This window comes from Homo sapiens, chromosome 1, assembly GCF_000001405.40.
Source record: "Homo sapiens chromosome 1, GRCh38.p14 Primary Assembly".
Taxonomy (NCBI): Eukaryota; Metazoa; Chordata; class Mammalia; order Primates; family Hominidae; genus Homo; species Homo sapiens.
This window is the reverse complement of record NC_000001.11, coordinates 7,463,533-7,476,380: the sequence shown is the minus strand read 5'-3', so window position 1 is coordinate 7,476,380 and position 12,848 is coordinate 7,463,533. Positions and strand designations below refer to the sequence as shown.

General features: G+C 55.6%; 1 protein-coding gene across 24 annotated transcripts in view, besides 4 other annotated features; it reads right to left on the bottom strand.

Annotated features, from left to right (window-relative positions):
• The window catches only part of CAMTA1 (calmodulin binding transcription activator 1), a 984,253-nt gene that overhangs the window by 293,326 nt on the left and 678,079 nt on the right, over positions 1-12,848 (bottom strand). For 19 of the 24 annotated variants that reach the window (XM_011541084.3, XM_011541083.3, NM_015215.4 and 16 more), the window contains one exon: positions 8,480-8,551. The exons of the other annotated variants lie outside the window; for them this stretch is intronic. In XM_011541084.3, coding sequence (XP_011539386.1) covers positions 8,480-8,551 — 72 coding nt within the window. The remainder of the gene's footprint in view (positions 1-8,479; positions 8,552-12,848) is intronic. 24 annotated transcript variants of the gene reach the window in all.
• Positions 2,833-3,524: an enhancer, noted in NCBI's record as "H3K4me1 hESC enhancer chr1:7532917-7533608 (GRCh37/hg19 assembly coordinates)". NCBI's record gives its function as "activates a minimal SCP1, AML or CMV promoter by ChIP-STARR-seq in primed H9 embryonic stem cells {active_cell/tissue: H9 hESC(primed)}" and the evidence as "EXISTENCE:reporter gene assay evidence [ECO:0000049][PMID:30033119]".
• Positions 5,122-5,271: a silencer, noted in NCBI's record as "silent region_184". NCBI's record gives its function as "represses an Ori minimal core promoter by ATAC-STARR-seq in GM12878 lymphoblastoid cells {active_cell/tissue: GM12878}" and the evidence as "EXISTENCE:reporter gene assay evidence [ECO:0000049][PMID:35858748]".
• Positions 5,122-5,791: a biological region, named in NCBI's record as "H3K4me1 hESC enhancer GRCh37_chr1:7530650-7531194".
• Positions 5,247-5,791: an enhancer, noted in NCBI's record as "H3K4me1 hESC enhancer chr1:7530650-7531194 (GRCh37/hg19 assembly coordinates)". NCBI's record gives its function as "activates a minimal SCP1, AML or CMV promoter by ChIP-STARR-seq in primed H9 embryonic stem cells {active_cell/tissue: H9 hESC(primed)}" and the evidence as "EXISTENCE:reporter gene assay evidence [ECO:0000049][PMID:30033119]".

Genomic DNA, 12,848 nt, shown 5'->3' with positions numbered 1-12,848 from the left:
TGTCTCCTTCTCTGGATCCACCGTCTTGACCAGCTTTAGGGACCACCAACTAGGCTAGGGTCAGAAATGGCTTTGACACCACAGGGTCCTCCATCTGCTGTCCATGCAAGGATCCAAGGGCCCAAATGTCAGGGCCTGGCCACTCCTGTCTCTGCTGCCAAGTTCCAGCTACCCCTTGGAGTACAGCGGGCTGGCTCAGTGTCCCCTGCCGAGGTCCAAGTGCTCTGGAGTGTGCCCATGGTCAGCTCAGCTGTGGCGGCCAAAGGTGTGGAAGAAAGGTCCCATCAGACCCCAGCCTCACAGGGACGCCAAGGGCCAGGGCAGGGGAAACTTGGGGTTTATGTCAGGGTCGGTCAACCTTTCTCTTGCCCTTCTTGGCATCAGGACTGGTCCCTGTGAGGCCAGCACATCCAGGCTCTGGAAGCTGCTCTTCCTTCTCATCTCTGCTCACTGCACATGTGTGCACCTTGGGCCTGGCCGCTGTGGCCTGTGGGCTCCCCCAGGACAGGGACCACGTCTGTTTAAAGGGCCTGGACCAGGGCCCTGCCTACCCTATGTCTTTTGGAGCCCCTTATTCTCTTCCTGACCCTCAGTTTCTTCTTCTATGAAACACTGGGACGAACTCACCCCTGCCCTGTTTCCTTCCCAGGGTAGCTGTGAGAACCAAAAGCCAGGCCTTGAAGTTTCTGATCAAGCGCTCAGTGGCCGTCACGCACGGCCAGGGCTGTGGTCTCCTGAGCCATGCACGGTGGTGAGCGTGTATAGGGGCACCTCGGCATCAGCCACGTCCCCACTCTTGGTGGCTGAAGGTAACACAGGGTGCTTATAACACCAAAGATACCAGGGCTGGGCTGCGGGATGGTGCGCAGAGGGTCTGGCAGGCCTGGGACACCTTCCCCTCCCTGCTGAGCCCAGATGTGGAGGCCAGGACCCCTCAGGGAGCGACTTGCTTCCTTTCCTTGAAGCACATGGGTCCAAATGTCCTCTTTGGGGCAGAGTGTCAGCCTGACAGCAAGGCCTCCTGTTGCTCTAATCCCCCCCGCCAAGCCTCATTTGGTGGGAGCCGTGGAGCCCTGCCCCAGCGATAGATGGCAGTAGAAGGCCCAGGTACAGAGCCAGTGCCGTCAGGCTTTATTTCCAAGCCATTTCTATTTCACCCTGATGAAACATAAAAATGGTTGCTGAGCAAAAAGCTCAGGTATTTTTTATGAAGCTATAATATTCTCCATTTTAAGAAAGATTTTTAAAAAAGAAGAAAGAAAAAGAAAGAAAGAAATGATATCCTGTTAAGCTAGCTTGTGCTTCCTAGAGATGGCCTGCCAGGGAAGAGCCCAGCTCATCCGGGTGGAGAGGTCCCCACCACCAGGAGGAGGCCACGGGCTGAGGGGCGAGCGCGGCCATACTCTTCAGGGTGTCCCACTTGGCCTGCAGTCCCTTCCATGACCGAGCTCACAGCTCACCGCCAGGGCAGTCCTTCCTGAGGGCTGCAGGGCATGGTCCTGGAGTGGGGTGCGGGGAGAGGCTGCACTTCTGGGGAGACACTTGGGTTGCCAAAGAGCTGCTCATTCTCCAAATAGACATCAAGTCTCTTGGGTGGCTAAGGGACATTTATTGCAATGACAGCACCACCCTGGTGTAGCCTCTGCTCCCTTCTCTGTCCGGGCTGCAGAAGAGGGTGGTATGAAGGGTAGAGAGGCTGCCTGTACCAGCGGGGCTCCTGCCTGGCTCAGGCTTTGGGAGGGGCTGGCTCAGCCTAGCTCAACGCCTCTGGGAGAGAGAATGCAGAGGTGGGATGCTAGGGATGGGGTGGGGATGTCACAGACGCTTTCTCCGGGATTCAGGATGTCCACTTACAGGTCTACCTGGTGCTGGCAGCATCAAGCTATCATTCGTGGATGCTTGCCCTGTGCCAGGGACTGGGTGACATTTTATGCACGGCATCAATGCAGACTTCCACTCCTCCAACAGCCTCTGTATTCCATGCTGCTGTTGGCTCCATTTTATGGATGAGCAAACTGAGACTCAGAGAAAATAGACAGACTGCCCAGATTCACACAGCCAATAGCTGCTTCTTTGCTGTTGGCTCCATTTTATGGATGAGCTAACTGAGACTCAGAGACATTAGACAAACTGCCCAGAGTCACACAGCTAATAGCTGCTTCTTTGCTGTTGGCTCCATTTTATGGATGAGCTAACTGAGACTCGGAGAAATTAGACAAACTGCCCAGTGTCACACAGCTAATAGGTGCTTCTTTGGGTGATCCTAACCCCACTATTTGACGGGTCTAAACCCCACCCCACACAGAGGGCTGATGGTGCCCATCCACTCACCCAGTGTCCAGGGGGGTGGCCCCGGAAGGGCAGCCTCCTGTGTGGTTGCAGCAGGCAGGGGCTGGGGTTCAGGGACCCTGCAGGATGCCTAGACCTGACACAGCAGCACGCTTTGGTGCTCCCAGAAGAGACACATCCTGAGGACCCTTCCTGGGGAGCCAGAGGCAGTCGGCTCAGAGAGGCCATCGCGTTCCACAGCCAGGTTCCGGCGTCAGTGGAGAAAAACTACACTAATGCCCCAGTGTGGAGCTGGGCTCATCTCAGACCCACCATGAGGTGCCACGGTCCCTGGAGCTGGGCCAGGAGGGCTCACGGCCTACTCTCTTCTCTGTTGGCTGGGGGTGCCTGGGACTCAGTTGCCCTCAGGGACCTGCAGGGCCTGTCCCTCTGAAAAGATTCTTCAGCAGTGAGGGGGCCCCACGGCCCCTCTTGAGGGCTGCAGCATGAAGGGAGGACTCCCTGGGGGCATGCCTGGGCTGAGGCCTATAGGGCCTGTGTCTGGGGCAGAGGCTGAAAAGGCTGTTGGCTGCAAGGTCTCCTGAACAAGGAGCAGAAGTGGCTTCTCTAGGGCCTGAGTATGGAACTCCAGAGGCTGTAGCAGCCTGGAGAGGCCACTTGTCCTCCTCCTCCTCCTTGGGGGAGCCCCGAGCCTGGGCTCTAGGACTGCCGGTCCCTCTGCCATGGAGCTGCCCCAGCCCCAGCTGTTCCTCCTATGGGCCAAAAGGCCAAGTATGCCAATGGGACCTGCTCTGGCTGGAGAGATCCATGTTCTGGCTAACTCTGCAGGGCTCCCATGGAGGGCAGATGGCCTGGGGCAGGAGTGGAACCGGGGCATCTCCCCTAGGGCCTCTCCCTGCAGCCTTGCCCTTCTCCCCTCTCTGGGAACTACCCTAGGAAACCCTGCTCTCAGCCCCAGGGTGGACAAGCAGCTGACCACTCTGGGGATGGAAGGCCCACTGATTTGGGGATCTGGAGCTTCATCTCTCCCCTGTGAACCTGGTTTCAGAGCCCCAGGCCTTGTGGGGAAGCCTGGATCCTGCCCAGAGGCAGCCCCATGGAGAAGGCATCTTCTTCCTCTCCTGGGGGGTGGTGAGTCCCAGGTAAAGGCAACTTCGCTCCTGGACATGGGGGCCCTTTGGGGCCAGGACCGCCTGGAGTGAACCCCATGGTGAACTGGCATTGTCCCCGCCCCGAGTCCCCACTCAGCAGCACCAGCCACAGAGGCTGCTGTGGCTGGGCTCTGTTCTGGCCACAATGCCTGTGGTGCTTAGTCTCACGGTGCCTGCTCTAGGGGGTGATGGCACCCCTGTGCCCTGCACCCACTACTTCTAGGGGGACCCAGGGCTGGCAAAGGCTCATGTGGGGGCAGCAAGCAGACAGCATCCAGGCTGAGGGCCCAGCAGCTGTCCCACTTTCTGGCCACTTCCGTGATCTGCTACAAGGTGCCCAATCTCTCTGATTCTCAAATGCCTCATCTATAAACAGGGGTGATGGTGGTGCCCCCAGGGGAGGCAGCGGAGGGCAGCGATGGTTGCCCCCTATTGACTGAGCAACTGTGGAGCTTCTCGGAGGCTGTTTTCTCCCAGGTGAAGTGTGGTGCGTGGTGGAGGCTCACTGCCCAGCCAGGAGTCAGCACCAGAGGTGTCCAGTGGCATGGTCACCGCTCCTGGTGCTCAGGTAGGTCCAGGCAGAGCTGGAATCCAGCTCCTCAGACTCTGAATCCAGAGTCCCCCAAGGAGCTCAACTCCTAGAACTCAGGCTCAAAGATCTGCCTGTTCCAGTGATGTGGGAGCCCCGACCTGCACTGCCACCCTGTCCTGTGGTCTCCTAAGGCCCCAGGGTCCTCGTCTCCCCGCAGCCGTGCTCTTGCCCCCACAGGCTTGGTCTGTGCTGCCAGCGTGGGCCAGGAAGGACCCCCCGCTGCCTCCACCCAAGCAAGCCGGGCTTGGCAGCCAAACAGCTCCGGCCTGGCAATGGCAGCCATGCGGGGACACACCCCCGCTTCACTCGAGCACGGAAAGCAGTCATTAAGCATTTTAGAGGACAAGGGCACAAAGGAAAACACTCATTAGAAGCAGAAATAGTTTCCAAATGAGCCATACAGAATCTGCAGGGAAGTCTGGCCTGGAATGGGGGCCTGGTCCCCTGCGGGGGCAGGCGGAGAATGCAGAGAAGGACGGAAGGTGGAGGACCAGGAGAAAGGGGCACATGAGGAGGTCAGGGGGCCCTGAACCTCTGCTGCCTACCCCTCGAAACCATCAGAAAATCCCAAACAGGAGGGACCGCTCTGTCCAGCTCACCCCTTCATGCCTCCTCTACCTCACGAGGCTCAGGGTCCTGCGGCTGCAGTGACACCCACATCAGGCGGTAGGGGCAGAGGCCAAGGCATCGGGAGAACGGAGCACTGCCTGCTCCTCCCCTGACCCACTGGGTGACCTGGGCCTGGCCCTGCTCTCGCTGGGTCTCAGAAATCCTTCTAGAAAATGCACTGGGTAGGCTCAGGGGAGCCTGAAGGCCCTGTCAGCTGTGACACAGAGCCCCCAGCAATGCTGAGGATGGGTGCCACCAGCAGAGGGGAAGAGGTGGCCTCTTCCAGGTCATGGCTCTGGCCCTGCCCAGCTGGAGTGGGCTGAGCTCAGGTCATCTGGTCCCTCCCCAGCTGTCCTGGTGACCTCACATGGTGGTTACTGGTCATGCCAATGGCTTTATGAGCCTATGGGCCACATGGGCTCTAGTGCCCTGCCTGTGAGAGGCTCCCTGCCCGTCTCCTCGCTCATAGCCTAATAGAATATTTGTCAGCAATGGAGAGATGGGGAGGGAGAACATGACAGAGAGAGACGCAGAGAGAGACAGAGAGCCTGAAAGACAGACAGACAGACACAGACAGAGAGGTAGCACCCTCCCCTGAAAGCCCGATGACTCAGAAGCTTACGTGCCACGTCAACTCAGGCCCTTCTCTGTAAATCTTGGCACCAATCCTGAGCTCCAGGCCCCGAGTCTGCGAGGCCTGCTCATTCCCGCCCCGGGGTGGATACGTCACCACAGCAGAACATGGCTCTCCCAAATGCTGGCTCCTGCCCTGTGGTGGCTGTGGCTCTGGGCTGGGCACTCAGGGGAGACAGGAATTCATGTCTCTCCCTTGGGAGCTGACTAGTTGGAGAGGAAAATCGAGGCCAACATAGGCAGACGTGCCCACTAAGTGCTAAGTGGCCTTGGGTGACATCAGCTGGAGCATCTCAGAGGGCAGGAGCGAGTTCACAGTGGGCCGGCAGGAGGCGGCCACTGAACTGAGGCTACAAAGGTGGGGCAGTGGGTGCTATTCCTTGGAGAAAGTCTCCTTTTTCCAGAAGCACTTCTTCCTTTCCTTCCTCCCTCTTTCCTCCAATGCCCTTACCTTTCTAGAAGGCTCACCCCCTGCAGGGGGCTGAGAGAGCATGGCCAGCCCATCACTCCCTTTCCTAGTGCCTCCTGCATTCAGAGGACCAGGCTGGCTCGGGGCTGGCATCTGAGCAGCCTCCTTCCTCAGCTCCCAACATGGGCACTGCCCTGACACCTTGGACCCCACCTAATCCTTTTTCTTGGTAATTGGTGTCAGAGACACACTTGAGCCAATTTCCATCTGAGCCAGTAACTCATGGCTTCTTTCCTATTTAACATCAGAGAAATTAAACCTGGCCACAGCATCATTATCCTGGTGTTGTAATTAGCACCAGAACAAATTGCCCTGAGCGGCACCGGCTGCCACATAGGCTCTGGGCTCCGAGCAGGGCGTGCATTGTGCTAATTGCTTTGGCCTTAGCTCCTTAACCTGCTGTTGCCCCGCACAGACCTGGGGGAGCAGGAACCCCCTACACCTGTGTGCGCTCCCTCTTTGTGATCTGATCACAGAAACAAGTCTGATGCTGGAGGACACAGAGGAGAGGGATGGGGAGGGATGGCTCCCCCAGGCTTGGGCAGAGAAGATGAAGAGGCCCCAGCTCGGCCATGAAGAAGCCTGGTCCTGCCATCCTGGCCTTCGGGGAGACTCCAACTTCCCCGCCAGCTGGGAGGTAACGAACCAGACACACATGAATCAGTCCAGGTATGCCTCCAGCATACGGAGGCTGGAAAACAGGAGCGCCAGTGAGGGAGGGCTGGGGCAGAGAGCAGGACCCCTCTCCTCGCTTGGCCCGAGTTGAGGAACAGGAGCAGCTGAATCTAGGAGGGACCCGGAATGAGCAGAATGCAGCTTGGGAAGTCATCAGCTCAGACCTCGTGGCTGCCCAATGGTGTCTGATTCCAGGAAAGTAAATTTAGTGGAATTAAAAAGCCACAAGGGCATGATGGAATGAGGGGAGGCAGGCGGAGGCGTGGGTGCAGGAGAAAAGGCCTGGAGGAGCAGACCAGCCTGGAGGAGCGGGTGGCTGGGCTGCTGGCAGGATGCCAGCTTCCAGGTGCTGCCCCGACAGGAGGGCAATGGCCAAAGAGGTGTTCTGACCAGGGGGCATGAAACCGAAAAGGAAAAGGGCAGAAACCAGACCCATGGGGCTGGAGGCCCAGGAAGGAGTGTACAGGGCTGCAGGCTGCTTTGGATAAATGGTGTTTCTTGGGAAGCCAGAGTTTGTCCCTGGGGACTCAAGGACATGCTCTGACTCTGACTCAGCCGCCAGAACTCTGGCCTCGGGTGGAACCCCACCCTTCATCGGGTAGAGGAGAAAACCCTCTGCCAAGGGGTGGAACACCTTGGGACCAATTCCTAGTAACAAGACCCCAAAAGCCTCATCCCATGACCATGTGACAACTCCCCTCCTCAAGCACACAGGTCTGAGCAATTAGAAAAGCAGGTGCTAGCACGTCAGCCTCCAGGGGAGGCAGAGCCAGGGAAACTGATGACAGGGTGAGGTATTGGGAAGCAGCCTCTGCAAATCAGCACGTCCCCGGATGGTCTCGGGCATCATTTGAACTTGCTGAACAACAGACGGCTATTTCTGGGAACTGAGGGAGAATGGAAAGGGTTTGGAGGCTGGGGCTGGGCAGAGCCGATGGATAGAGGGCCCTGTCTAGGCTGAGCCCGGCCTCCACATCGACATGGCTCCGGCCCTGTGGGCACCTTCCAGACCAGCTCTCCTGTGGCCATCAGCCTCTCTGCACTCCGTGGCATGTGTGACTCTTTTCTCCCTGAGCTTGTGTCATAGCACTGGGGGACTTGCTTCCCCAGCTGCCAGGCCCCTCCAACTACACCCCCGCCAGGTCAGAGAGATCCCTAAACCATCAAGGTCCAGGGGTTTGCTGCCTTGAACAACAGAAAGTAGAACCATGGTGGGAAAGGCCTCAGGCAGCAACTCCTGGGTAGAGGCAACAGTAAGAACTTGGGGTGACAGAGGCAGGCCATGGGGAATGGGTTCTACCAAGAACAGCTGCAAATCAGAGGATGCATTTTGAAAAGGACCTATGTCTAGTCCGACTGCATGGATCCCTCAGACCTTCCCGCCCACACGGCAGGCAAGACAGCTGGCAGACGATCCCCAGAGGGCAAGAGGCCAGGTGGGCCTCCCGTACCTACCCACCCCTGGTTCAGCAACGCTGTGCACAAACACCATGGACAGAGATCTGGGCACCAGGCCACTCTCCCACAGGAATGGCTAGCATGCCCAGCCACAACCTGTTCCATCCCTGCCACAGCAGACATCACAAATCGATTACGGAGCTCCTTCCTCCTTTCCCCACAGCTATCCCAATCAATCCAGCTGTGCCTGGCAACCTCCGGGAGCCTGTTTTCCACATGTGCCTTGTAACTAACCCATGAGAGAAAATGAATGTACAGCTTTCAGCCAACAGGCATTTCAGGGCAGGATACTCGGCCTTCTTTCTTGTCCTCATCAAAAGAAAACTGAGGCGCCTTGGAAGCTGGAAGCACCTAGGTTTATTTCCCATCAGTGGGTGACAGCTACCCCTGCCACCAGGCCTTCTCCCCTTCCTGACACATGACAACACCAGCCCAGCCACTGAGCTGGCCTCAGTGCCGCAACAGCCGAAGTCTCCCTAGGCAAGCTCACCAGGGCTCTCAGCCCGAAGCCGTGTCGCATGCGGAGCCCCGCGCCCTCAGTGCCCTCCACAGACCCTTCCCGAGCACCAGAGACAGAAGAAGAATCCAGTCCCAGCCACCTACCTGAAGGAGCCAGTAGCACCTCCGGTGGAAGGTGGGGATGATGGAGGAATGGACATAGCAGCCGTACAAGCACTAGGGAGAGAGGAAAAACGAGAATTCAGTTGGAAAGAGGGAAGGAAGGAAGGAAGGAAGACGGCGCAACAGAGAAGGAGCAAGAAGGGGCCACAGCCGCCTGGCAGCGGCCCAGGGAGACCGAGGGCACCTCTGCGTCTGGCTCCAGCTCCAAGACTAAGGCTCTGGGACAGCACCTACGAAGCCCCGTGGGGACACACCAGCCGGCAGACTCGATGGGCAGCTGGGGCCTTACCCTCCGGGAGCCATAGAGGCGTCGAGAACCCAGGACAGCCAAGGACCAGGGAAATGTACCTACGTATGCATTTTCCTATAATTTTAGGGGCTTGGAGTTACTCTGTAGTTCATTCCTAGAGCCTAGGTTAAGACCCTTTGGGGTACAGGGAATGGCTGATGGTTACAGAATTCATTAAACACATGAAACATACATGCTACAGACCTTTCCTGGCCAGGGGGCCCTGGCCGGTACGAGCCCAACCAGGGGGGACAGGGTGGGGCGGCACTTCCCAGGATGGGCTTCTAGAGCTTGTGGGGCCTCTTGTGCATCCCTGCTTGTTGACTTTGCCTACTGTTTATTCATATATTTGTTAAGTAATCCTGCATCTTTTGCAGATGGATTTGGTTTTGGAAAACAGCCAGAGCCAGGTTGGAGAAGGTGGGTGGAAAGTCAAGGTCAGGAAGGGTGGACTGTGGGTCGGGATGGCTCTCAGGGGCCCATCACCTAGACCCAGGTGAGCAGAGTTGACCAGTGGGTGGGGTCATTGGGGCTGGCATGTTGGTGAGGAAGGCCGCCCTGCTCTGATTCTCTGGTGCTGCCTGCGTGTGTAGAGCTGGGCACCGTGGGCCAGGCTTGCTGGTGAGATGGAGAAAGGGGCCTAAGGAGAACCATTGATCAGGTCCCTCTTGCAATCCAGCTGGAAGGTCTGAGTGGGAGGGAGGGGCCCAGCCTTGAGCAGGTCATCAATTTGGAGAGGGAAGTCTCAAGGCACCCAGTGATGGGGGCCCCCACCAAAGCCAGGGGCAAAGCTTTTCTTTTGGTGCCTCTGATTCCAGACTGGAATGATCTCCCTTCCATCAGCTTCAGAGTTCCCCTGGCTTCCCACTGCATCCGCTCTAGAAGGGGTGGGGCATAGAGGGGAGGAAAGTTCCTCAGAGCCACACAGGACATCTGCCAGGTGGGAAAAGGCCTCCCCCACCTCTCCTTGCTCATTTTAATCTCACTGTTGTCCCCATACCCTTGAACCAGCTCTCCAGAGAGAAATGCCACCAGCTCTGCTTTAAAGCTTTCATCAGCTATTATTTACACCCCCAAAAGAGCGGGTGCAATTTGGTTGAACTAGGAGTCCATCGGAGCCCTGCCTGTCTGATTAGCAGAGTTGACAGAGAAATCATTTTGGACTATGCGATTCTGGCTGCAAGAAAATCAGATTTCAATATGTTAGAACTTTTACAGATCACTGTCAGCTGGGACTTAAGCCCTGTATAAACCAAACATACAAAGCGGAAATTAATTTAAACAATTCCCTTGCAATTCTTGCCCATGAAATGTATTTATTATTAAGAAAGCAATATTCTTTCTTGACTTTTCTGGTTTTCAAGACACGGTGTTTTGTTTTCGTTGTTTTGGTGGTTTGATAACTCACTCCTTGCCGAAGGAGACGCATGTCTAGACATTTTTGTCTAAGCGTTTGGTTGCAATGAACAAGCAACCCACCTGTGACATTCACCATCTCCTTTCCTTTGGAATTTGCATGTTCTCACAGGCAGGTTCATTACTTTGACTCATGTGATGAGCCAAATGGAGGGAGATATCAACGGCTGAGGGGTGTTTCTCTCGTCCCTTTGAAATAAGAGGTTTCCATCTGCTGTTTCCCCACTCTATTCCTCTCTAGACTTTGCAATGACTTTCCCTCTTCACCTGTCTTATTCTCTGTCCACTACTTTCTCTTGGACTTGAAAAGACCGTGGTTGGTTTTCACCATCACTTCTCCCTCGATTGCCTGCCTGTCTGCCTGGACTGGGCTTCAGCATCTCTGAACCCCACACTCAGAGGTGAGAATTTCCCAAACACCAACTGTGTTTCCTCTGTGAACCTACAAAAGAAGAGGAAGGCCCAGGCCCGCTTTCCCCTGAAGCCTCCTAACACCTCTCTGGCCTACCCACAACTGCCCCAGAACCATCCGATAAACAAAATGAAGTTAAGATGAAAGAAACACTGCCATTTCTACATCAAGGCTCACTCATTTGAATCAGAGGAACCCTCGGGCCCTCACTCCAGAACCCGGTTACTCCATTTTTAGATACTCCTCTAACCACTGTGGCAATCCCATGCCCCTGGTCTCCTTGGATGAGAAGCGTGGTCCCTGGATGGTGGGAGGGATGGGAAGTGCGGCTGAAGGCAGATCCCCAATAGGCAAGGATCACATCAAACAGTACCAGAGGAGGAAAGAAAAAAGCTACACAAAGAGCCCCAGGGACTCAGGAAGCCCACAGGGAATGGGACCCCTTCCATGCTGCCTGGCTCAGCACACTGGGCTACCCCAATGGTTGGTTATTTGGTTAATTTACCCATCTGCCTTCTCAGAATGGGGGCTCCTGAGGGCACAGGGCCTTAGGCTTTTTGAATAAAGATATCCCAGTTCTCCCCACTGGCAGCTCCAGGACACAGGTCCCAGGAAAGGACTCCAGAGACGGTCAATGTTTAAGTTTTGCCCGTGGCACCCTGAACGCTAAGGACTTCTAATACACACTAGAAAACAACCTTGAAAAATGGCTCTACATTTAGGGCTTAAAGGGTTGAGCTTCAGTTTCAAGGAAAGCAGACTTGTGTGGAGTCGCGCTTTGCTGTCCAAGTGGGGAAAGCAGCTCACGGCAATCCCCTGCTGATGAGCCGGGGTGGCTGTGAGGGCCTCGGCGAGAGGTGGAGCCTGCCTGGGGTGGGAGATGTGTGACTTGGGCTCAGAGAGTCCTTGTCCTGCCAGGCTGCACCATGGGTACGATTCTAATCCTTTCTCTCGGGTGGCTGTGTGGGCTGAGAGCTTATGCAGCAATGGAACCCTCGGGATGCTCCTTGGACCCCCCGTGAGTGTGCACCCTCATCAGTGATTGTCACCGGAAGGGGACATCAGAGGAGGCTGCAAAAGCTTTAAGGATGAGCAGGGTTTGCCGAGGGAAGCACAGCAGCAGGAAAAGCAGCCAGTGAAGGACAGGAGATTCCCTCTCCCCTTCCATTCACCCCTTGGCCCAAACCACCCTACAGCCCAGCCCTGACCCCAGGCTCTAGCTGCTACCACCGCCCTCACTCTGCAGTCTTTTCACCAGATTCCAGGCCATATGACAAGGTCATTACCAAGCCAATTGGGGATTAATTGCACAATATTCCATGAGGCCGTGTGGCGAATCCATTCCCTTTATCCACTAATCAAAAAAGCAATCAAGTTTGTCTGTAGTGATTTGTGTTGTACAAACTCCTGGCGCTTTTTGATCAGGCTCTCAGGGTCCTCTGGGGTTTCCCCAGTTGAGCTTTTCACTGCAGGGAGCCACATTCCGGGGCTCGTGGATAAATCCGCGTGTGAGGTGCACACGCGTGTGGGAGTGTGAGGGAGTACATGCCGTGGGTTCCCTTATTTTTGTGTATACACAAAAAGAGAGAGAAAGGAAGCAACTAGGTATTTATAGGAAACCTGGGAGGACATCACCTTTCAGATGAAAGCAACCTTTGAATCAGTTGTATTGGGGAATTAAGGCCTGGCAGCTTCCCCTTAACATGGCAGTTGAGCAAGGAAAAATTTTTTGGTAAATATTCAAAATTGCTTTTATGACACTATAGGGCTTATTTATTTATTTATTTTTATAAAAAAGTAAAGATGAAATTACAGGGGAAACCAACAGCAAACAAGAGCTCCCTTCAGCTCAAAGTAAATGCCTCAAAAAAGAAAGTGGCGTTTCTGAAGGGAGCATGGCCGCAGAGCCCCCTCAAACGCAGTGGGGGTCCCACACCAAAGAGGGCTCCTGAAGGCTGGGCAGTGATGGCTTAGTGGCCCAAGAAGGAAGCACATCACTTATAGGTTGGTATGTTGTGGGCACCTCCCTTCCCGGCCAGCTCTCTACGGCCTCATCTGACGCAGCAGATTTCTGCCCCCACCTACTCCCACCATCTGTTTCTCTCTTCCTATCTCTGTATCTGTCTCTCTCTCCTTGCCTCTCTGTGTCTCTGTCCCTTGGTCTCTCTTCTTCCGTCTCTATCTTTCTCTATCTCTGTATCTGTCTCATCTTCTTTCTCTCTCTGTCTCTCCCT